Source organism: Homo sapiens, chromosome 8, assembly GCF_000001405.40.
Source record: "Homo sapiens chromosome 8, GRCh38.p14 Primary Assembly".
Lineage (NCBI taxonomy): Eukaryota > Metazoa > Chordata > Mammalia > Primates > Hominidae > Homo > Homo sapiens.
The window spans coordinates 25,362,746-25,388,203 of record NC_000008.11 but is presented as its reverse complement, the minus strand read 5'-3'; the positions used below and the strand labels follow the sequence as shown (position 1 = coordinate 25,388,203).

Below are 25,458 nucleotides of genomic sequence, written 5' to 3'. Positions count from 1 at the left end.
AATGGTGATCTTGCTCTCACAGAACTTACCTTCTAGAGGAGAGAATAAAAAACAAGCAAGTAAATATATTAGTAAACATGATAGTGTAAGTACCGTGAGGGCAATTACACTTTCCAGGCAAACACTGAATGAAGGGAGTAAAAACTACTGGATCTTTTGGAATATATGATAAAACTTTTCCAAGTTAGGAAAAGTCTATGGGACTCAAGCCTGTTGAAATTCCATCATTCAGATGAAACAATGGTGGGTAAAGGATCAGAGTGTAATACAACGCTAGTTGTATGATGCAGACGATAACTGTAAAAGGAATCACAGAAGCAGGTCAGGAAGAATTAGCTCGACTGGAAAGAGAAGGCTTCAAGCAAGACATGGGCCTTAGATGGGCATAGACAGATGAATGGGATAAGGAAGCGTAAAGAGAAGGGGTGCGAAGGACCAGGTGGGTATGTGGAAAGAGTCAGGCCCAGGGGCGGAAAGCACAGAATTCTGGGAGAAGAAATGAGCTTGGACTGGAAGAATGAGCCAGAAAATGAATGGTCTCGCATGGCAGGCAGAGGTTTCAAAGACTTGGAATGTTCACTGGAGGTTCTGGAAGGCAGGAGATGCATGATGAAAGAAGAAGTGTAGACAATGTAAGCCAACAGTGGCATCTATGCCCAACTGAAAGCTCACAGGCTGGACTGAGCAGAAGAAGGAAAAGTAACAGAAGGAGAGACAGAAGTAACAGCATTCAGTGTTTGCTTCTTTGGTGTCGGGAGAAGGGCAGGGCAGACAGGGGAGTCGACGCTGATTCAAAGATCACTGGTCTTGAGCCTGGGCAAGATAGTGAGACCCCATATCTAAGAAAAAATAAAAACATTAACTGGGCGTGATGGTGCACACCTGTAATCCCACCTCCTCAGGAGGCTGAGGCAGGATTGCCTGAGCCTGGGAGGTCAAGGCTGCAGGGAGCTGTGATTACACCACTGCATTTCAGCCTGGATGACAGAGCGAGACCTCTTAAAAAAAAAAAAAAAAGTCACTGGTCTTGGAGTAGGAAGAACAGTGGTACCCCTGACAGAAACAAAAGAGATAATGAGATCTCATTGGGTTGGAAGGAGAGGATGATGTAATTTTAAATATTCTGAATTCAGGGAAATATCCCATAGAAGAGAGTGGCAGTGAGGTTATATCACTCCTGAGGATTTTATATTCTACAGTATGCCTTTGAGGTATGTTAACATCTCTAAACTACTTTACAGTTTATAAAGCACTCCTATATGCTATTAACTTAATTCTCAAAACTTTCCTGCGATGTAGGCATTATTTTTCTAAATTACGGATCAGAAAACCAAGACTCAGTGATTACGTGATTTCACCAAAATTGCACACTCGCTCAGCAGGTGATTTAGACGAGAATGCTTTCGACTTGAAAGTCTGGTGTTCTTGATTTCACAGAATCACTGCTGTCTCTGTGGTCACATTTCTGATTTCATGGGACATGCAGGCATATGTAACGGCTATGGCAGGGGTTGTTCTTTTATGTTGACCTGGATTGAAGCTGAGCTAACACTAGACCCTGATGCATTTAGACCCTACACTCTTTCTATTTTTTATTTTATTTTTTGAGACAGGGTCTCACTCTGTCATCCAGGCTGGAGTGCAGTGGCTTGATCACAGCTCACTGTCACTTCTAATTCCAATACTCAAGCAATCCTCCTGCCTCAGCCTACTGAGTAGCTAGGACCATAGCACATGCTACCATGCCTGGCTAATTTTTAAAAAATTTTTTTATAGAGACGGGGTCATGCTATGATGCCCAGGCTGGCCTCAAACTGCTGGTCTCAAACTCCTGGGCTCAAGCAAGACTCCTGCCTTGGCCTACCAGTGCTGGGATTACAGGCATGAGTCACCATGCTTGGCCTCAGACCTTCCACTCTTTATTCTTTCCTCTGCCTGGTCCACCTCATCCCCAACCACGGTTATTTTAACTCCATACAAGTAACTCACCAACTTTTCTCTCCTGTCTGTAACTTCACTTGAGTTCCAGATCTATACAGCTAATGGTTGACTTGTGCCTTTTGGATGTTCCAAATGTACCTCCCCTTGAGTACGTGCAAAACCAAACTTTGCAAACACTTTAGAAAGCCCTGGGAGGCCCTCTGCTATCTGGTACCAACAGCCACCTGCCCCATTCTCCTATACACCCTCTTGTACACAACTACTCCAGCCTCATAGCTTTTGGACCTGCTATTCTCAAGGTCTGGGACCTTTGCTCAACCTCTTGATAGCTGCATAGCTTATTCTTTAACTTTTTTTCTGGTTTTTGCAAAAATGCCATTTTCTTTCTGAAGTCTTTCTTGTTTACTGTATTTAAAATTGTAACTCCATCCCCAACACCTGCCTCTCTAGTCCCCTTCCCTAAGTCCTTTTCTCCATGATACTTACTGAGTAGCTACACTGTAGGAGGCAGTGTTCTAGGCCATCTCTCATACTAAATAGTTTATTGATTTATCTCATTTTTTGATCTCTCCAAGCTGGAACATAAGCTAGATAATTTCAAGATTTTGGTTCGTTTTGACTCTGCTCCCATGCCTATATTAGAGCCAAGTATATGGTAGGAGTTTAATAAATATTTACTCAAGGAATAAATTCATTCTCTCCTCTGTGACTCTGGCCTTTTCCGGTCCTCCTGTCCCAGTAAATGGTTCAACTACCCCCTCCAATGATGCAGGCCAGAAGCCCAGAAATCATTCTTGACAACTCTCACTTCCTCACCCACACAGCCCATCAATCATCAGATGGCTGTGACCTCATCTCCACCCCTCTAGTATTTCCGCTTCTCTGTAAAGCCACCACCCCCACGTCCCGAGTCTAGCCTGTCATCTCTTTTCTGAACATCTGCAATGGTCTCTTAGTGGTTTACCTGCAGCACCTCCCATCCATTCTCCATGGATGACCATGGAGACAAAAGCCAGATGACCTTTCCAACACGAAAAGTCTGCAGCAGCTCCCACTGCTCTCAGGATGTAGACAGAACACCCCAGGAAACCCCAAGGCCCTGCAGGCTCTTCCAGGGCTCCCCGCCTCCCCGCTGGCACCCCAGCTCTCTCTGTGCCTGCTGCACTGGCCCTTCCTTTCAAGGCACTGCCCTGCTCTTGCCTGATGCTTCCTCTGCCTGCAATGCTTATTCCTACCCCCTTTACCTGCTCCACTCCCAGCTTACCTTTCAGGTTGCAGCTGAAACAGAGGATCCCTGGAAAGTCTTTCCTGATTTTTTTTATTTTATTTTGAGATGGAGTCTGGCTCTGTCGCCCAGGCTGGAGTGCAGTGGCACCATCTCGGCTCATTGCAATTTCTGCCTCCCGAGCTCAAGTGATTCTCCTACCTCAGCTTCCCAAGTAGCTGGGATTACAGGTGTGAGCCACTGTGCCAGGCCCTGATTCTTTTTTTTATTAAGACATAGGCTGGGCACGGTGGCTCATGCCTATAATTCCAAAACTTTGGGAGGCTGAGGCAGGGGGATCAACTGAGGTCAGGAGTTCGAGATCAGCCTGGCCAACATGGTGAAACCCCATCTCTACTAAAATACAAAAAATTAGCTGGGCCTGGTCGTGCACACCTGTAATCCCTGCTACTTGGGAGGCTGAGGCACGAGAATCGCTTCAACCCAGAAGACGGAGGTTGCAGTGAGCCGAGATTCCACCACTGCACTTCATCCTGGGTGACAGAGCGAGACACTGTCTCAAAAAAAAAAAAAATAAATAAATAAATAAATAAATAAATAAATAAAATAATAATATTAAGACATAATCTACATACAGTAAAATGGACCCCTTTTAGTGTAAAATTCTGTGAGTTTTGACAAACATAACCAGGACCACAATCAAGATACAGAACAGTTTCACTGCCACCAAAAATTTCCCCAGGCCCTTCTGCAGCCAACCTCCCCCTGGCCAGCAACCACTGATCTACTTTCTGTCCTGATAGGAAGCGTTGCCTAGGCAAGAATTTCGTATAAATAAAACCACAGAGTACGCAGCCTTTTAAGTGTAACTTCTTTTACCTAGCAAGCTGCATGTGGGTGGGAATCATGCCCGCAGTTGTGTGTATCAGGAGCTGACTGCCTTTGGCTGCTGCAGTATTCTGTTGTGTGGATACACTGAAGTTTGTTTATCCCATCACCAGTTCAGGGACACGTGGATTGGATCCTGTCTTTGGTGACTATGATTAAAGCTGCTATAAATATTCCTGTACATTTTTTGTAAAAGGGTAAGTTTCTATTTCACTTGGGTAAATACTTCCTGGTTACAGATTCTTATAGCACAGGGTATCTTTCTTGGTTATAGTTTATTTATTTATTTATTTTTGAGATGGAGTCTCGCTCTGTCACCTAGGATGGAGTGCAGTGGTGTGATCTCGGCTCAATGCAACCTCCACCTCCTGGGTTCAAGCAATTCCCCTGCCTCAGCCTCCTGAGTAGCTGAGATTACAGGCATGCACCACCACGCCCAGCTAATTTTTGTACTTTTAGTAGGGACAGCGTTTCAGCATGTTGGCCACACTGGTCTCGAACCCCTGACGTCAAGTGATCTGCCTGCCTCAGCCTCCCAAAGCGCTGGGATTACAGGCATGAGCCACTGCGTCCGACATGCAGATTAAATTTTACATTCATGTGTGATTAAAATCTCCCCTCATGAGTTTAGGTTGTAAAATCCATGAGAGTAGGGACTATGTTTGACTGTAATCAGCAAGATCTTTCTAATGCCTTCCCTATGCCTGGCACACAGTAGATGTTCAATAAATATTTACTGACTGAATGAATAAACTGTCTCATTAGGCACTGTTAGGAATGTAAATTGCTTGCTTTATCGCTTGTTTTCAAATTAGGAGAAAGCAGATGGATAATAAATGTTTAAGCAAAGCTCAGCTCTAAAAGAAACTTTTCGTAAGAGATAAGAATTTTTATTTATTAAACTATAAATTGAATATCGCATTATACACAATTTTGAGATGGAAGAAAAATACCATCCTTGTCATTATTATTATAATAAAATGTTTTATTTTGGGATACTCCTGCAGTCTGGTTCTTGGGATACCTATTTTCAAATTAGCTCTGGCTAGAAACATGGTAAACAACGAAATACATCAGTCCACACTTTTCCCTGGCGTGACCCGTAGCAGCTGACCAGTGCGGGGGATGGTTCTGTTTTTCCCTTTTTCACTGCACCTGGGAAAAGTCATTTCACAAAAGACCTGCAGAACACCACGGGTGTCCGGGGGTGTGGGGTGAAGAGGCCGGCTGCTCAGGAAGTGGTTTCCCTCCCCTACCTCCCACAGCGAGAACACGGGTCGGCAGCTGCTAACACCCTGTTGCCCATCTGGAAAAGAAATGAGTCTCTTCCCTCCTCCTAATGGCCTGGGAGACCACCATCAGGTTTCTTACCCGTAGGAAAGAAGGAAAGCCCTGTCCATAGTATCCAACAGCAAAGTATTCAGGCTGAGGCCTCATTGCCTTAATGATGTTCTCATAAAATGAGGCCCTTTTTTTCTGGAAAACAAAACAAGACATTCCAAGGGGAGGTTATAAGTACACAGTTGGGGGAAAAAAAAAGTCAGACTTTGTTTTGTTGTTTCCCACGTAACCCAGAGCAATGAAAGGTCTTTGGAAAACACCCTATGGGCAGAAAAGGGTTATCCTATTCTCGGATCACAGGTTTTGGACCTGGGCTCCATGAATGGACGTTGGAAGGCTGTGACTCCCTGAGGGTGTATGCTGAAGTGTGTGCACGTTGGAATTCTTCTGCGTAACGGGGCAGTGCACAACTTTCAGCAGTTTCTCAAAGTGGGCTCAGGGACTACAAAAGGTTAAAAAGTGCATTCTGAGATTCACAGAAGGCGGCTGCACTTAACCAGACACCCATGGGAGAAGATAAAGAACCTTCCAAGGCCAGGCGCAGTGGCTCACGCCTATAATCCTTGCACATTGGGAGGCAGAGGTGGGAGGATTGCTTGAGGCTAGGAGTTTGAGACCAGCCTGGGCAACATAGTGAGACTCCATCTCTACAAAAAATTAAAAAATTAGCCAGCAGCTGAGGCAGGAAGATGTCTTGAGCCCAGGAGTTCAAGGTTGCAGTGGGCTATGACTGCACCACTGCACTCCAGCCTGGGTGACAGAGTGAGACCCTGTTTTGAAAAAATAATAATAAAATAAAGAACATTTTTAAAAAGAAGGACTGTGTAGTTCATGCAGGTGGTCTGGATGAAAGTGTCTGGTAAATTATAAGTGCCCAGAAGGTGGTGGTGATGTTCGGTTTTTCAGTATCTGCTACCATCTTTATCTTTAATTCTTCACAAGATGAGGGGCTTTCCAGCTTTGGCTCACAAGGTCAGCCTTAAAGAAAGCAAAATAGCCAGCCAGACGTGGACAGCTTTGAGCAATGACCTGAGCCCCCTCCCCTACAATGGTTAGCATGCCATTACTCTTCTATCTAGGTGATGGTCTCGTCAAAATACTATTTTCTTAGACCGGTATGTAACATGTTACATTACTAATATTTCAGCTCAGTTCAGTTGATGAAATTTTTTTTTTTTTTTGAGACAGGGTCTCATTCTGTTGCCCAGGCTGGAGTGCAGTAGCATGATTACAGTTCACTGCAGCCTTGACCTCCCAGGCTCAGGTGATCCTCCCACTTCAGCCTCCCAAAAGTAGCTGGGACTAGAGGAAGGTGCCACCACACCCAGCTAATTTTTTATATTTTTTGTAGAGATGGTGTCTTACTATGTTGCTCAGACTCGTCTGGAAGTCCTAGGCTCAAGTGATCCATCTGCCTTGGCCTCCCAAAGTTCTGAGATTACAGGTATGAGCCACCGTGCCCAGCCCAGTTGATGAAATTAATAAGTCAGTTTTTTGCATGTGAAGCCAGGGGCTGGTAATAGCACACTGGTAAACTTTTTACAAAGTGATCTTGACACCCAGCTCCTCAAATAAATGATTATTTCATGACTATGGGTGACCTGATCTTTTCTAACTCCTCTACTAGAAATTATTAAATTTAATATTATGGTTGCCTACCACTGGGCATTCAGAATGGTGGCTGCCTACCATCAGGCATTCAGAATGGTGGCTGCCTTCTATTGGGCATTCAGAAGAGTGGCTGTCTACCACTGGGCATTTGGAATGGTGGCTGCCTTCCACTGGGCATTCAGAATGGTGTCTGCCTACCGCTGGGGCATTTAGAATGGTGGCTGCCTTCCACTGGGCATTCAGAATGGCTGCCTCCTCCACTGGGCATTTGGAATGGTGCTGCCTCCACTGGGCATTCGGAATGGTGCTGCCTCCACTGGGCATTCGGAATGGTGGCTGCCTCCACTGGGCATTCGGAATGGTGGCTGCCTCCACTGAGCTTTCAGAATGGTGGCTGCCTAACACTGGGCACTCATTTTTGTTTTGCTTTACTGATGGCTGGGAATATGGAGGGCCCACAGAAAGAAAAATGGCTTCAGGAAGAATGAGAGAGCTGCAGACAGAGATCCTGAGGGATGTGGAAAGCGAGTCACTACTATCTGAAACTCAATATTCCACCACACTGTCGAGACAACCCCACTCCACTTCCAGAGATGTCCTGAACCTTCTCTGAAGGATATTTGGCAGAAATATTGATCAGAGCCTTTGGACTACATCTTTTTTCATTCTCATTTCAAGCAAAGTTGACTTTTCCATTGTAAAAAAACACCATTCATCCTGACTTTCAACTTACGGAAACATTTTCATGAGTGCTAATTTTAGCAACCCTGTCAGAGGCCTAACATATTTTGACCCAGACTCACCAGGAGGTTGCCAAGGCCCTCGTAGTCAAATACTTTGCTTTCGTAAGTCTCAGCCAACTCTTTGCTCAGCTTGATGGCCTTCTCCCACATCTTCAGAAAAAGGAAAGTAAGGTTAAAAGTGGAGAACAAGGCAGTCATTGATTCAGTGGCAAAAGCCACTGGCGAGTCACTGGGAATGAGCAAGTGGTCTGGGGGATTGAGTTTCGGTAGATATTCCTCACTCGCTTTATCCCTTAGATCAGTGAAACCTTCATTTCCTGACATCATAAAGACAGTGTATATTGGCAGCTTTGCCAGGGGCGTCTTCTGTAGTTCTGTTTGCACGGACATTAAGAATAAGTACCATGTGTCGCCCAAAAAAGCAATACTGTGTTTAACAGGTCAAGCACCTACAGCACTTCAAAGTAGAGAGGAAGCTCTGCCAGCCCAGGTTCGGAAAGCATGCAAGTCTGGTTGGAGGGGGAAGGGAAGTTTCTGTGGGACTTTGGTTCTGAAATGTGTGTGTACAGGTGTGTGTATGGGTGTGTGTGTGTGTGTGTGTGTGTAGGTGTAGTGATGTTGTTTGTGGAGATGGAAAAAGGCTAACAGTACTGTTGTGTGGTGTTGCAGGAAGTCAGGGACCCCGAATGGAGGGACCGGCTGGAGCTGCGGCAGAGGAACATAAATTGTGAAGATTTCATGGACATTTATCAGTTCCCAAATAATACTTTTATAATTTCTTACGCCTGTCTTACTTTAATCTCTTAATCCTGTTATCTTTGTAAGCTGAGGATGTACGTCACCTCAGGACCACTATGATAATTGTGTTAACTGTACAAATTGATTGTAAAACATGTGCGTTTGAACAATATGAAATCAGTGCACCTTGAAAAAGAACAGAATAACAGCGATTTTTTGGGAACAAGGGAAGACAACCATAAGGTCTGACTGCCTGCGGGGTCGGGCAAAAACAGCCACATTTTTCTTCTTGCAGAGAGCCTATAAATGGACGTACAAGTAGGAGAGATATCACTAAATTCTTTTCCTAGCAAGGAATATTAATATTAAGACCCTGGGAAAGGAATGCATTCCTTGGGGGGAGGTCTATAAATGGCCACTCTGGGAATGTCTGTCCTATGCAGTTGAGATAAGGAAGAATAAACAGTCTCCTGCAGTACCCTCAGGTTTACTAGGGTTGGGAAATTCCACTCTGGTAAATTTTTGGTCAGACCGCTTCTCTGCTCTCAAACCTTGTTTTCTGTTAAGATGTTTATCAAGACTATACGTGCACCGCTGAACATAGACCCTCTTCAGGAGTTTCTGCCTTTTGCCCTTTGTCCTGTTTCCTCAGAAGCATGTGATCTTTGCTCTGCTTTTTGCCCCTTGAAGTATGTGACCTGCTCCCTGTTGGTACACCCCCTCCCCTTTTGAAATCCTTAACAAAAAGTTGCTGGTTTTGCAGCTCAGGTGGGCATCACGGTCCTACCGATATGTGATGTCGCCCCCGGCAGCCCAGCTGTAAAATTCCTCTCTTTGTACTCTTTCTCTTTATTTATCAGCCGGCCAACACTTATGGAAAATAGAAAGAACCTATGTTGAAATATTGGGGGTGGGTTTCCCCGATAGTGTGGAATTTGGCAAACTGTATTTCAATGCAGGGCACTGATTTCCCTACTTAGTGGATGAGTTTTAGGAAATGCCTCCGAGCATGTATAACCATGTAAGTTACAGGCTAAAGCACGTCCTCAGTGTCTGAGGCTAGCAGCCCAGATTGAGCCTTCTAACCCCTTTGGTATTTCATGAGCTGTCTCTTAGACGGATACTATTCAACTTGCAGCATCGGGTCACCTCCTGCTTCATTCCTGTTCACAAGGTGCTATGTTCCATTGTTTCTGGCTTCTGAGGAAATGTGTGCAGAGCCCACAAGCCATTGGGAAACACTTCAAAATTAAATCTTTTAAAATCATTGTTTGCAAAATCTGTCCCCCTCTGAAATCTCAGAATTCAAGAATACACAAGGGAAGAATAAACAGTAGCTGTGAGTTATTGTTGTATATTAAATCATGTATCTGGTCTTGGTCCTGAGTTCCGGTGAATTTTCTTAGAATTTCTCAAATAATAAGAGTGTCTTTGTTATTCCTGGTGCCCCCACCCCAGGATCATACCCAAATCTATGCTAATGAGGTGACTCATGGTGGTCTCCTAGTCTCAGGATGGGGGCTGCCATGCCAGAAATACTAATCATGTGACTAGAAGGTTAGGGCTGTGAGCCATGCGATATCAGCCCAATCTTCAGGGACAAAAGGAAGGCTAAAGATCAAGTTCATTGTGTAGTTAACGATTCATTCAATCCTGCCTGTATAATGAAACCCCACAGTGGCTCATGCCTGTAGTCTTGGCACTTTGGGAGGCCAATACAGGAGGATCACTGGAGCCCAGGAGTTCTAGGTTCTAGACCAGCCTGGGCAACTGGTGAGACCCCATATTTACCAAAAAAAAAAAAAAGAAACCCCAATAAAAACTCTGTACACCCATGGCTTGGGTGAGCTTCCTGATTGAGGAACACACTGATTTGCTGGGAAGGTGCCCCGAGTTCACAGGGGGAAGACACAGAAGCCCCACGCTTGAGATTCTCCCAGACTGTTCCCTATGGGTCCCTTCATGTGGCTGGCCCCAGTTTACATTCTTCCTGATGAAACTGGAATGGTTAAATATAGCACTTCACTGTGTACTATTGGTTGTTCTAGCAGACTATTAAACCTGAGGGGGCAGTGGAAGCCCCCCAGATGTATACCCAGTTGCCCAGAACTGTGAATGGACTGGGGACCCCCAAATTTGAAGATGGCATCTGAAGCGGGGGCAGTCTCGTTGGAGACAGTGCCCTGAACCTGGGTAGTCAGTGCTAACTCCAAGTGGTGAGCATCAGAATTGTATTGCGATACTGCGGTCATTTTCCTCTTTCCCCTAGTACAAAAACAATCCAATACTCACTTTGCCTTTGTCGAAATATGATATGATTTCTTGATACAGCTTCTCTTTAAGCTCTTGCTGGGTATAAACATAGTAACTGTCCTTCTGAAGCAAATGAGGCACACAGGGCTTGTCAGACCACTGAAAAGGAAGAAAAGCGACACACGGTTAATACAACAAATATTCAGCCCCCCAACATCAAGAAAATATTGTATATATATTTGACTCATTGATTTTGTATTTTAGATTATGTATTAAACACAAAAGTTACATATACACACATATACACATGCCAGCTCCAAAACAAGAGTATCATGCCAAATGAAGGAGCACTCACAGCATCCCCCCAAAATGCCAGCGACAAAGCAAGGTCGCTAACTGACATGACTGTCGTTGTACTGGGGCATCAGTAACACAGTCAGATAAAAGGAACAAATTAGGAGTATAAAAATGAATAGGAAGAGGTAAAACTACCACAATTTGCAAACATTATGGTTGTATTCCTCACAATGCAAGGCAGTTGACTAAGAAACTGCGACACACAATAAGAGAATTAAGTTACGCAGCAGGAAGAACAATTAATATACTTGAAATAAAATTTATTTCAGATACACGGAGACTAAATATACAGAATAGAAGAATGGAACCAAACAAAAATAAGTCCAAAAAGAACATTTCTAAGAGTGAACATTACAAGGAATATGCAAGACTTATATGCAGAAAACTTTCACACGCCATTGAAGGGCACAAAAGCAGACTCGAACAAATGGAAAGTCATACCATGCTTTTGGATAAGAAAATTCTATTTCATTAACATGTAAATTCTCACTAAATTAATTTTTAAATTTCATCTTTCCAAAGTCCATATGGAAAAATTAACAAAAAGGAATAGGTAGGAAAACTCTGAAAAAGAAGAGCAATCAAGAGTAACTACCAGGTCATAAAACACACTATCAAGAATTAATAATTAATACAGTATGGTACTGGTACATGAACAGACAGAGACCCACGTAAAAGCATATACAATCTAGAAAGAGATTCCCTCCCCCCAAAATAAGAATTTAGTAATAAAGATGGGATCTTATACCAATAAGCAAAATGTGAACTATACTTAACAAACAGCATCTCTATTGAATAGCAATCTGGGGGGAAAAAAAGCTGCATTCATACCTCATATCTTACACCAGGATAGGAGAGTTTACCTTCCTGAGTTTCCCAAATGAAAAGACCTACAGTTACAGACACTGGGGATTTCTTTCTGATCATACAATGGCGAAATCCACAGTCAACAAGCCTCACTTTCTAAGCTATATACAGTAGGTTGCTTTTTTTTTTTTTTTTTCTTTTGAGACACAGTCTTGCTCTATCACCCAGGCTGGAGTATGGTGGCACCATCTCAGCATACTGCAAACCTCCGCCTTGCAGGTTCAAATGATTCTCCTGCCTCAGCCTCCTGAGTAGCTGGGACTACAGGCAGGTGCCACCACGCCTGCTAATTTTTTGTATTTTTAGTAGAGATGGGGTTTCACCATGTTAGCCAGGCTGGTCTTGAACTCCTGACCCCAAGTGATCTGCTGGCCTCAGCTTCCCAAAGAGCTGGGATTACAGGCGTGAGCCACCAGGCCCAGTCCATTATACAATAAGCTTTTTAATGCCCTAAACTTAAATATGAATTGTGAATTTCCTTTGGGAAGTGGTGAGGCATAGGAATCCTATTTTTAACTCATATGTTCGGACAATGCCCATATATTACTTTAGTATAAAATATAAACTGTAAAAGAATATTAATAGCTGAGAACAAAACTGGAGGCAGAGACACCAAACAGGAGGCTGCTGTAGTGCTCAAGGTGTGACATGCTTACGGGATGGACCAAGGTGGTAGTCAGGGAGATAAAGAAAAGTGGATTGGCTAGCATGGTGGCTCATGCCTGTAATCCTAGTACTCTGGGAGGCTGAAGTGGGAGGATTGCTTGAGCCCAGGAGTTTGAGACCAGCCTGGGAAACATAGCAAGATCTCATCTCTTTAAAAAAAAAAATAAAGAAAGAAAAAGAAAAGCGGATAAGTTAGGGGCATGTTCTGAACAGAGGGGCCACATCTCTCGCTTGTGGAGAATGTGGGAGGTGGTGAGTAAAAGAGAGAAATTGAAGATGACTATGAGGTTGCCTGAGCAACTAAATGGATGGGAATGTTATTAGTAACATGGTAACAAAGTGAGGTAGGATGGGCTGGGGAGGAGCAAAGAGTGAGAAATAAAGGTTCCTGTTACCGCCTTGTTCAGTTTGAGCTGCATATTGGCCAATCAAAGTTTATATGTAAATCCAAAGTTAGAGAAGGTGCTCAGGGCTAGAAATAATTACTTGGGATTCATAACATATAGATGTATTTATATCTAAACCACAACATACATTTATTTAGGGAGAGAATAAAAATAGAGTACTTCTATGGTACTATATTCACTTATAACTCATCTTTCTGCAGTTTTCTGCAGTTTTACAAATTTTTTTATGTATTCATCAATGTGTGTTTTATTGCTTTAATTAGAGTGTCAATTACCAAAGGTTCATAAGTCGTGCTCTGCTTTCTAAGGATTTTTAAATAAAAGATAACTGACATTTTCCCATACTTGATCTACAAATTAGCTGTGCCTATTTAGAAAGAACTAAAAAAACTTGTATAAAAGGATATTCCTGGAATAAAGTTCTTTCCCATCAAAATCATGAAATGTATAGAATTTAGTCTGAAAGGACACTGTACTCCACCCTGTTGAAACAAGCTCTCTGAGCCATTCACCTGCAGAAGCTCAGCGTGCAAGAGAAGCGTGTAGGCAGCTTCTGTGTAGTTCTCACAGTCTCGGTGCAAATCTCGAAGCTTGTACAGATATCTGGCAAGAAGGGGAGAAGGAAGCATTTTGTCACTCGAGAGTTTTATAGGTTTTTTAGTTCTGTTTTGAGACAGGGTCTTGCTGTATTGCCCAGGCTGCAGTATGCAGTGGTCCGATCATGGCTCACTGCAGCCTTAAGCCCCAGGGCTCAAGTGATCCACCCACCTTAGCCTCCTAAGTAGCTGGCACGTGCCACCAGGCCCGGCTAATTTTCGTATCTTTTGTAGAGACAGGGTTTCACCATGCTGCCCAGGCTCGAGAGTTGATTTAGTGTTCAGCTCATTCCATAACCAGACCCCAGCCTGCTTCCCTGCCTGACCCCCCTCCCCACTACTGTACAGAAGCAATTCCTTCCTCTTGAGCCAAGAAGTCGGATCTTCCCCATTTCTTCAATACACTGTGCACCTCCTGCCTCCGTGTTTCTCTGACTCCACCTAGACTAGTTTCTCTTCTTTCTTTAAGGCAGTGGTGTTTAATGTTTTTAAATATTAGGTCTTGGACCCCTCTGGGAAGCTAATGAAAGCTATGGAATCTCTCCCCAACAACATGCACGTTGGTTACGTACAAGTTTGTTTCATGTTCAGGGATTCGCAGACTTCAAGCTAAGACTCTTGGGTGGGTTTTCCTGCCTCTTCCTGTACAGCCTCTCCTGCCCACCCAGGCCAGAAGTTGTCTATCCTTCCCCTGATCCCTGACATGACCTCACATAGGCACTCCTTCCTGTCGTACTTATTCATGTATCTGTCTAAAGAGTTTGTCGGTTCAGGGTGAATGGAGCGTATCATGTACTTTTAGGGGTCTCTCAAAGCAGCAAACACGGTGTTGGGAAAGTATTTGTTTACTGAAGAAATCAATCACAAAGCCATGAAATAAACAGCAGAAGCAAGAAATTTCCTTCAGCTTACCTTATGTATATGTCCTCTCTCTTCTTTTCTTTATAAAAGTTCTGCCAGGAAAAAAAAGGATCACAGAATCCCAACATAAATCAAGAGCTATTGACACAAAAATAGACAAACCACTATTGTTGCTTTTCAAAAGTTTCACTTTTCCAAAGAGATCACTGTTTCCCTTTAACAAATATCCCCATAAGAAAAGGGGATATTTATCCTCAGGATGCAAAAGCACAAGAGTGATATAATGGACTTTGGGAACTCAGTGGGGAAGGTTATAGGAGGGTGAGGGATAAAAGACTACATTTTGGGTACAGTGCTCGGGTGACGGGTGCTCTAAAATCTCAAAAATCACCACTAAAGAAATAACCTATCCAGCCGGGTGCGGTGGCTCACGCCTGTAATCCCAGCACTTTGGGAGGCTGAGGCGTGTGGATCATGAGGTCAGGAGATCGAGACCATCCTGGCCAACATGGTGAAACTCTGTTTCTACTAAAAATACAAAAATTAGCTGGGCATGGTGGCGCGTGCCTGTAATCCCAGCTACTTGGGAGGCTGAGGCAGGAAAATTGCTTGATCCCAGGAGGCGGAGGTTGCGGTGAGCTGAGATCGCACCACTGCACTCCAGCCCGGCAACAGAACGAGACTCCGTCTCAAAAAAAAAAAAAAAAATCCCCAAAACTTATCCATGTAACCAGAAACCACTGTACCCCCAAACCTACTGAAATAAAAATTAAAACAAACAATCAAAAACACACCAAATTTATCCTCAGGGTCTGTGGCTGCTGATACCTGTGAGCTGAGCCAGCCATTCCAATTAGACTTAGGAAGACACCGGCTCCACAAAGGTGCCTCAGGGCGCCTCTGTGTTTGTGGGATCTACCTAGAGCTGAGCTGTAGGGTGCAGGGGCGGCCTGACAGTACCCTCCCATCACACCGGAGGCATGTCACATACCAGCACGTTCACAGTGCAGCTCATACGGTTCTCCTTGCTCTCATCTTGCATGATGATGGTTCTATAGTCCAGCAGGTTCTCTAAGAGGCTGCTGACCAGGAGGGCGAAGACCTCCCCAGAGCTGGAGAGGTATTTGTGTTTCCGGCAATGTTCTAGGAGCCTGGAGGGGCGGAGGGAGAGACAAAAGCCCAGGTTCCATGCTATCATTCCAGCAGCACTGACCAGCACTGACCAGGGTCTCAGCAGTGGCTGGGGCAGGATTTGATGACACAGAACGTCAATGTTAGATATTAAGTGACACAGTTAAGCCGACACACACACACCTCATGCAACACCTTCCTATCCTGTGACCTTCACTTATGCTGCGCTTCTTTGTGGACTCGAGTTCCAGTTTTCTTTAGGACTCAGCTCAAGTCCCAACATCACTTAGAATCTGAGCACACAATGTCCTTCTTTCAATGTCTGTTTTTGTTTGTGTTTTATTCAGTCAACAAACCCTTGCTCAAAAGGTTCGTGTGTGCTCTGTGAGGACTCTAATTAGTTGTATGAGACCATTTTTCCTATGTCTTTATTCTCCCTAAGGCCTGGCACTCAGGGCATCCTCTGAACATTCTGGAATGCCTCGTATGGATGCCCAGCCTAGAGGAACCTGGGAACCTAGTACATCTCCTGCAATGCGGCTCTTTAGATAAAAGTGTTAGCTTCAGAAAAAAATGCAGAGTTATAAAGAAGCAAACTGAGGCTAAACTTTCAGTCTAAATCCTGTCCCTTTGGACCCACACAGAGCCAAGTTCTGGGGCTTATTAGATAATTAAAAGAAAACCTGGGAAAAGAGGGAGAGGGAAAGAGAAAGAAATGGGTCCAACACATTAATCCAGATTTAGGGTTATTCTTGGGCACTGGAGACCTATGTATCCGTATTTTTTCTAAGTTAGTGATCTAGGAAGAATGAAGAAAACAAAGTAAGATCCTTATGTAAAACAAATCAGCTGTAGGATTTAAAAAAGTAGCATATCATGTATAAATATTGTGTGTATATGTGCATAACTTCATTTAATTCCATATAAGATCAGAATTGCAAAAGATATAAACTGGGAGGTTTGAAGCTCAAATGGAGAGACTTAATGGAAACAGGATAAAAAAGACCAATAAAAGGTCTTGTCACTATTAAAAACAAAACAAGAAAGGCTTCTAGTCCTTTAAAATACAGACTATTCATCAATTCAATTATTTTTTTTATTTTTATTTTTTTGAGACGGAGTCTTGCTCTGTAGCCAGGCTGGAGTGCAGTGGTGCAATCTCAGTTCACTGCAATCTCCGCCTCCCAGGTTCAAGTGATTCTCCTGCTTCAGCCTCCCAAGTAGCTGGGACTACAGGCATCCATCACGGTGGCTCACTTGGCTCACTTTGGGAGGCCGAGGCAGGTGGATCACGAGGTCAAGAGATGGAGACCACCCTGGCCAACATCGTGAAACCCCATCTCTACTGAAAATACAATTCAATTCCATTTCTCGGTATTCAGAGTGCTGGTTCCTTAGAGAATCTTCAAAAAAGAATACAGTTGGGAGCACTGTCCTCAAACACAGACTCTCATCCACAAAACTCACACACAACAGGCGAACAGGTGAACAACTAAGTGACTGAGGCAAGCACCCAGCTGGAGATGCAGTTGGTCAACACTAGAAAAGTTCAGGGAACATGAGAAAGCAATGGTCTAGAGTAGTTACAACCTGAATGAAGGGTAGGCCTGTAAATAATAATAATAATAATACTAGGCCAGACGTGGTGGCTCATGCCTGTAAATCCCAGCCCATTAGGAAGCCGAGGCTGGAGGATTGCCTGAGGCCAAGAGTTTCAGACCAGCCTGGGCAACATAGCAAGACCCTGTCTCTACAAAAATAAAAATGAAAACCAGCTGGGCATGGTGGTGCACGCCTACAGTCCTAGCTACTAGGGAGGCTGAAGTGGGAGGATCACTTAAAGCAAAATTTCGAGACCAGCCTTGGCAACACGGCAAGACCCCATTTCTACACAAGTAAAAATAAGAAACAGCTGGGAATGGCGACATATGCCTGTAGTCCTAGTACTTGGGAGTCTGAGGCGGGAGGACTGCTTGAGCCCAGGAGTTCAAGGCTTTAGTGAGCTATCATTGCACCACTGCACTCCAGCCTGGGCAACAGAGAGAGACCCTATCTCTTAAAAACAAACACCAAAAACAAATTGTAATAATAACAACCATGAACACCAGAGCAGCCAATATTTATTAGTCATGAACTCTGCAACAGATGCTATGTTAGCACATCATCTCCTGTAATTCTCATGATGATATCAAAAAATAGATGTTATTCTTGGAGAGGGAAAAAAAATGAAGTGTTGGATAAGCAGAATCACTGGACTAAAGCCAAACTCTTAATATGTGGCGAAAACAGGGTTTGAAGTTCAATCTCTCACTGAGGCCAACACCTATGTGTTTTTAATCACTTTCCCACTCTTCATTACTCCACATGTGCCAAGGAGGGCAAGAGGGTTATAGGTGAGTGTGGTGGTGGGGGAAGAGGGGACAGTGGTGATAATGGGAGCCCAGACAGAGGTACAGATGTGTTGGATGGGGTGGATGACAGGGCAGGAAAAAGACCAACCTGGCTGGAGACAGAACTGCTTTGGTTATATGTCCTTTATGGGTCCTAAGGTATTTTTTACATACACAGCAGACCTTGAAATATTTTTTCCTTTAAATTGTTACTTTGCAGTTATAATTAGAAGTGCTAATACTTTTGTTGAAGTTCAAAAATTCAAACACTGGGCAAAATGCCACCACTCTGCACCTCCTCCTTGCCTCCATCTGCTGTGTTCTCTAGGGCCAGGCTGGCCAGGAAAATACCAGCATTTGACTCCCACGAGATAAACAATGTCAGCTGTGGACAGTATACACCCCATAACCATACTGAAGACCACAGTGGGGGTGGCCCTAGTGACTCTGAGACTACTCAATTGCTCTATTGGTGAAACAGGACCCCTGTTTTTCTCTATTACTAAATGACACCACTGACTTCAGGTTTCGTTCCTGAAATACTCACAGTTTTTCCAGAAGAACCTTGTATTGTTCGTCTCCTCTGCCCCCTTCTACCTCCTGGTCCAGCTTTGTGATCAGCTCATTCTCAAACTGAAAGTAGAGGCAGAATTTCACAGGATAATGTTGCATCCTTAGAAGAAGACATGGCCAACTTTCTAGACTTGGCCAACCCATTCGCTGAGTTGTGAACTGTTTCCAGCACAGACAGGGAGGATCACAGAGGGTCACTCATAAACTGTGCACCAAGGCCCTATCAAAATCTTCTAACAAAGTCTCATGTTACTTTGTCCTTTGCATTACATTTGATTAAAAACATATTATCCAAAACATTGCTTTCTGTTACAACTATTCATATAAAAATAGAATAATAATTCTTGTTTTTCTATTTTACTTCAGTTTCATGTCTAAGTCTCTGCAGTGAGATTGCTTTTGCAGAGGTTCATAGATGCGAAATCGTCCTTTCAATATTAATACACTTTGTAGATAAGAAAACAGAGGCACAGAGAAGACATACCAGGAAAATGACATTCTCAAAGCTACAGAGTAATGGATTAGAACTTAATCCATTGCACTGCTTTCAGCCGTACTATAATAGATAGGTTTTTAAATTCAATTCACTACATTATTCTCTAGGCTATACTGAAACAGCTAGGATTAAAATGCATGAAGTTAACTTCCTTTAATTTTCTACAGACAGGTGTTGCCTTAGGAAAGACATGTAGCAAAAAAATCTTTTCCAGGCTCTGGGTTGCACTGTCTGACTCTATCTCTAATTGCTTTATAAAATGAAATGTAAAGTGAACTTTCAGATCAACATGGACTTGCATTATTAAGGTTACTGCTTCTCTATATAGAAAGAAATGAGTTATGATTTGACTATATGTCCATTTACTAATATTACGCGGTCTGCCACTTCTTACCATATGGAAATTGCCATTTCCACTGAAATTGAACTCACACTGCATCATATCAAAGAAAATGGGGATTGTGGCTTTCCGGAGCTCTACTTCAGGGGTCAGAGTGACCTCCAGAATGGGACCCACCATGGATGGGATGAATTTGATTTTGTGGGGACCTGAAATGAAAGTGAATGAAGATATTAAAAAATTATTTCACTGAAAGTAAAGTGTTAAAATCTTCCTCCACAAGTTCCATAAGAAAAGAAAAGGTTAAAACAACTCAATTCAGAAGTGAGTGACTCAGATTCTGATAGCATGTGGATGCCAGAGTAAGAGACAGTTCATTGTCAATGAAACCCACAAATCAACTTTCACTTCCAGACACACAGACAAATACATCTCAGGGTTATCTGGATTAAAATAAAAAAAAGACTTTATCGTGGGATGCTTATCACTCAGAGGTTGTGATCAGGCCTGTTCAAGGCTAGACACTCACCCAGGTTATACCACATGTCCCGGATTCTAAAGCCGATTTCCTTTCTCATGTCCCCATATCTAGGAAGAAGATCATAAACTAGAAGGAGGATTTTCAGTAGAAATGAATTGCATAAACACAATAAGAAGGAAAGTAAAAACAGTCTGTGTCTCTCTTGGTCACTCTTAAGGCCCAACCTTAAGAGATGAGGTTCATACCTAAACGAGCCCCCAAAAGGAATGAGGCGCACAGAGGCCGGGGGACCTTGTGCCGCAATAAAGCCAAATGGAAACGCTGAAAAATAGCTGAGAAGATGAGATTAACAAACTCACTTCAGGGAGAAGAGTGAGGCACAGACAAAGCCAAACAAAACACGGCAAACACTGATGAAAAGGAAGGTGAATGAAGTATGATCATACAGTACTGTGACTAATGCCTAACAGGTGACTAAATACTTATATACTTTATAGACTGATATTGGGGTAATATACATCCATTCTAGCGTGTTTTTCAAAATATTCACATTGGAAGGCTCTACACCATGCACTCTCAATGGGAGTGATACTGTCCACAAAGGGATAAATATTGGTCCTTGGGAGCAAAAAATACTTTGCTGTTTTTGTATATGTAGGCAGTTTTTGAGGGAGGAACCAGAAGTAGAGGGACACTAAATAATTTTCCTACATATCGCAGATATCCCAACAAGGGGAACACAACTAAAATTTCAAAGTCTTCAAATAATACATTCCTCAAGTTATTTTTTAACGACATGGTCTTTGGATTCCAGTCTCTCAATGAAATGAAATGCTTCCCTAAATCTCTTATCACTTCTGCACATAATTCCATTTTGAATTCCAAACCAGGAATCTGGAGGGCATTTTAATGCAATGTCTGAGACCTGGCTTTCTCTGCTGAAATGGCAGGGAGGTGGAGCAACTGTGCTGAAGGAGTGTGCTTTGTGAAGCGCTATGAATGAGGAGGTACTATGCCTGCAATTTGGGGAAGCTGCCAGCAGAGGCGCAGCTGTTCTTGGGGATGGGCAAGCTGACAGCCAAGGTCCGTCTCCAGGTACAGATTTGATAAAAAGCATGGGATGACTGATGGGAAGATGGTTGGGCCTTAAGAAAAGAGAGCTGAACCTGGGTGAATGTGAGGCCTATTAAGTAATTAGTTGAAGACTTACCTCACTAACAACATGGGTAGCCACTAAATAGTAATTTCTGTGATACCTAAAATATTGCTCTCAATGTAAACAAATGGAAGAAGCCCCTTCCCGATCTTAACTTTAAAAGGACACTTACTTTTTAACAATTTTGTTGCGCTTGGCTTGTGAGAAGGTTTCAAGCTGAAGGGACTCATGGGTGAGAAATGCAACTGCCAAATGGAAGTAATTGTTCCAGAGCTGTTCAAAATTAATTGTGTGGGTAAAGGGAAATGAAAAATAACATTAATAAGGGCCATAATAAAACAATGTCACATGGTAAAAAGTCATTAACAAGAGATTAATGAAAGAACAAAATACAATCTACATTCTTCTTAGGTTTTGATTATTCAATCCTAAAAGTTTTGAGACTTAATGTTAAGCTTTTTAAAAAAATTTAAGCTATTATATTTTTCTTTACTCCTGGGATAAAGGAAAACTGCTGCCAAGAAGTGTATCTATTTATAGTATGTACTTTGGCACTATGTTTCAAAAGTCCTAAAAGTTTGCCAAACTTTTGAATTAGTAAACACTTTTAGGACTTTATCCTGATGAAATAACCATGAATTTTGTTGTTGTTGTTTGATCCAGAGTCTCACTCTGTTGCCCAGGCTGGAGTACAGTGGTACAATCTCGGCTCACTGCAACCTCCGCCTCCCAGGTTCAAGCGTCCTGCCTTATCCTGACGAGTATCTGGGATTACAGGCACCCACTACCAGGCCTAGCTAGTTTTTGCATTTTTAGTAGAGATGGAGTTTCGCCATGTTGGCCAGGCTGGTCTTAAACTCCTGACCTCAGGTGATCTGCCCGCCTTGGCCTCCCAAAGTGCTGAGACTATAGGCGTGAGCCACCGTGCCCAGCCAAGCACGAATATTTTTAAATATTTAAAGGAAGGAAGTCCATCACAGTGTTATTTAATATAATAGAAAATGGAAACAATCTAAATGTTCGTAAGAAGAATTTGGTTAAATACATCATGGACCAGTCATAGAACAGATGATATTCAGCCATTAAAAACAGGAAAATATTCAACATTATTGAAAAGATCACAGATCATTGAAAAAGGAAAACAGATTAACAGAGTACCAAAGAACTGCACAGCTCAATTCCATTTTGGCAAATATACATACACATACATACAATATATATTCATCTATATGTGCATGCATCTCTGTGTGTGTATGTGTGTATACTTTCCTCTACTTATGATTTTCAACTTTTAAAGTTCTGAGGCAGGAAAACAGGGCCTGGAGGCAGGGCACTGAAGGCCAATTCACACTGACTTCCTAGAACTGAATCAAAAGGAAAACCCCACCTCTCCACACCCAAGTAACAAAAGGATCAGAGGCTACCCCTTTGCACTCTGTGGCAGATGAAAAATTGAAAGTACCTCTGATTAGTCCCCTCCCACAATTGGTGGGAGGGTCAGACTGGTCACATGCTACTCCTTCATTTACATAGGGTGTAACCAAGTAACCAATGGGAAAACTTCTACAGGGTATTTAAACGCCAGAAAATTCTGTAACCAGTGCTCTTGAGCTACTTGCTTGAGCCTGCTCCCACTCTGTGGAGTATACTTTCATTTCAATAAATCTGGCTTTTATTGCTTCATTCTTTCATTGCTTTGTTTGTGCATTTTGTTCAAAACGTCAAGAACTTGGACAATCTGTAGTCAAGGACCTCCACTGATAACAGTTCCACAGATACACGCAAAGACAAAGAACACAGAAAGCACATCACCCACAAAATGCAGAGTACTCTGGAAGGTAAGCTCCATGACAGCAAGGAACTTATCTGCCTTCACCAGGGAAATGCCCCTACCAGGGCGCAAAACAGGGCCCTGTACATGTAAGTACTCTAACATTTGTTAAATGGATGAATGGATAAGTAAATGAATGAATGAATGAAAATAGAGCTAGCGGTCATCCGTTTTGCAATTCCTTTGGACTTTCAACAAACTGTGCATAAGAACTGTTCTTTAGAACCAAACTCATTTGTCGGTAGGAGAGTTACCTGTGTGCTTATTTGTAGCCATGTGTGTCTATGTGCATTTGTGTAAATATACAAAGGGTCAACTCCAAATGTTTATAGCGACAAGGAGGACTATTTATATTTTTGATCTTCTACTATTACTCTTTAAGATTTTTTTTTTACATATGTTACCTTTATAGAAAGAAGAAACCACCCCTATTTTGTTGTGTTTGGAGGACAGTGTGACAGGCATATGTGCTTTAGGAAATGAAAAAACACAGGAAAACCTTTTTCATGTGAAAACAGTGAAATCTGAGGAGACATTTTCCAAATTCATATAGTTCTCTTGCCATGGCCAAGAATTCTAGAAGCAGGTAGGTGAGTCACATGCCTACCTGAAGTTCAAAGCTTGCCTGATCCATGAAGAATCTTGTGAGAACTTCAGCAAACTGATTTATAGCACGGAGAAAAACCCTGCGGAAGGAAAACACCAGATAAAGAAGCCAACTGTATGTCCTTTGAAACCTTTTCCCACCTATATTAAGAACTAAACCAAACCAAACCTGAACTTGGCATCATAAGACCTCATAATCTAACAGTGTCCTTGCAGACAACAGCATAACACCATCCGCAGATGGGGCACAGGAGGTCAGTTTACAGAACAAACAAGAAGAGCCACTCAGGGCCACATCCCAATTTAGGTAATTGAAGGTAGATCTGAGACTGCAAACCAGGACTCTTAAGCCTCAGAGGAGGGTAATATATATAGACTCTATTATGATCCTTCTGTTTAAGCTTAGGGTTTCTGGTGTAATTTTTTAAATCTAATCTGTACATAGCAGAGAAGGCTTCTTCTAATCAGGTGTTAGAGTAGAATTACTCAGAATTGGGTATCATGTAGAGTTAATAATAATGCTTACAATAATGGTTTATTTATCTCATTAAACTCTAACACTCTTTTAATATAATATATATTCAGTTCATTTCACTTCTGTTCAACAAGTATTTGTTGTGGGCTAGCAATTGCAAGGCACAGGCTCACGTCTGTGTTGAAAGACACAGTTTCTGATCTTAAGAAATTTACAGCTTGGTTGGGGAAATTAACAACATGTACATCTATTACCCAACATAGAATCTGAAAACAATTCTATAAGAAGGTTTGAATGGGGTATGGAAAATCGAAGGAAGAAGAGATGACATCCAGGTCAGAAAGGCTTCCTCTGGAGGTGACGCTTCAGAAGAACCTTATGGAATAGCTGGAATGCTGACAGCCAGAGGTTATGGGGAAGGCACTGCTAGCGGAAGACCGGTGTGAGGCAGAGCAGACCATGTGTTCAGGGACTGGGCAGAGGCCAGTTTGGTTGGAGTACAGGTAGCATACACAGGGAAGTAGCAGAAGCAACTAGTTAGTTTGGCACTGTGTATCAAAAGCCCTATAATTTCACCAAACTTTTGAACTACTAAATTATTTTAGGAGTATATCCTGATAAAATAACCATGGATATTTTTAAATATGTAAAGCAAGGAAGGCCATGACAGTGCTATTTCACATTAATAGAAAATGGAAAGAATCTAAATGTTCATAAGAAGAATCTGGTTAAATACATCATGGACCGGTCATAGAACAGACACTAACTGGTGAGCCCTGAATATCAGGATGACACAGGCCACGTGGAGCCACGGAAAGGTGCAGTGGAGAGTTGAGGATGACAATTACCATGAGAGCACTGAAGAGACGACGCTAGAGAAGGGAGTAGAGAGCCCGAGGTGGAGCAAAGGCAATTACCCTGGGAAAATCAAGATCACGAGCACATAAATTAGGACCTCTGGAGCAGGAAGATCCTCACTTTACAGATGATGGGTTTGAGGCAAAGGGATTTAAAGACATTTCCCAAAGTTCACACAGCAGCCTTAGGTATTCAGACAAATGCCTCAGGGCCAGCCATGGGCTGTCTCACCTGTTTTGAGTCATATTCATCACCATCCAATCTTTGGCATAGACATTCTTTCCAATCAGGTCCTTGAACATGATAAAAGTTTCCATGAGGAAGTCCTGCGGAGAACAGAGGAGTGGTTGGGGGAAAACTGGGTTACGTTCATAGTCTTTATTCTGGCGTGTATACAAGCAGAACCACAACCTCAGAACAGGATGTTCCTAGCCCCACAGTAACAGCCCATCTTTCAAGGGTTTTAGGAATAACAAAGCATTCTTACAGCTGGCTGTGATGCAATTTGATTTTTATATTGTAGGACCCTATAAGGAAGATGAGGACAAAAAGAATCATCCACATTTTACAAATGGTACAACTGAGGCTGAGAAAAACTAAAGGACTCACTTAAGGGCATAGAAAGTA

The 25,458-nt window shown here is 42.8% G+C and overlaps 1 protein-coding gene across 1 annotated transcript in view; it reads right to left on the bottom strand.

The window, feature by feature from the left end:
* Positions 1-25,458, bottom strand: part of DOCK5 (dedicator of cytokinesis 5) — a 231,023-nt gene that overhangs the window by 27,508 nt on the left and 178,057 nt on the right. Inside the window, exons 29-40 of the mRNA NM_024940.8 lie at positions 25,063-25,157; positions 23,500-23,578; positions 21,234-21,334; positions 19,954-20,012; positions 19,479-19,633; positions 18,563-18,648; positions 15,486-15,645; positions 14,546-14,586; positions 13,550-13,640; positions 10,780-10,899; positions 7,810-7,899; positions 5,426-5,530 (exon numbers count right to left, since the gene is read on the bottom strand). Of these exons, the coding sequence (NP_079216.4) occupies positions 5,426-5,530; positions 7,810-7,899; positions 10,780-10,899; positions 13,550-13,640; positions 14,546-14,586; positions 15,486-15,645; positions 18,563-18,648; positions 19,479-19,633; positions 19,954-20,012; positions 21,234-21,334; positions 23,500-23,578; positions 25,063-25,157 (1,182 nt within the window). The remainder of the gene's footprint in view (positions 1-5,425; positions 5,531-7,809; positions 7,900-10,779; positions 10,900-13,549; positions 13,641-14,545; positions 14,587-15,485; positions 15,646-18,562; positions 18,649-19,478; positions 19,634-19,953; positions 20,013-21,233; positions 21,335-23,499; positions 23,579-25,062; positions 25,158-25,458) is intronic.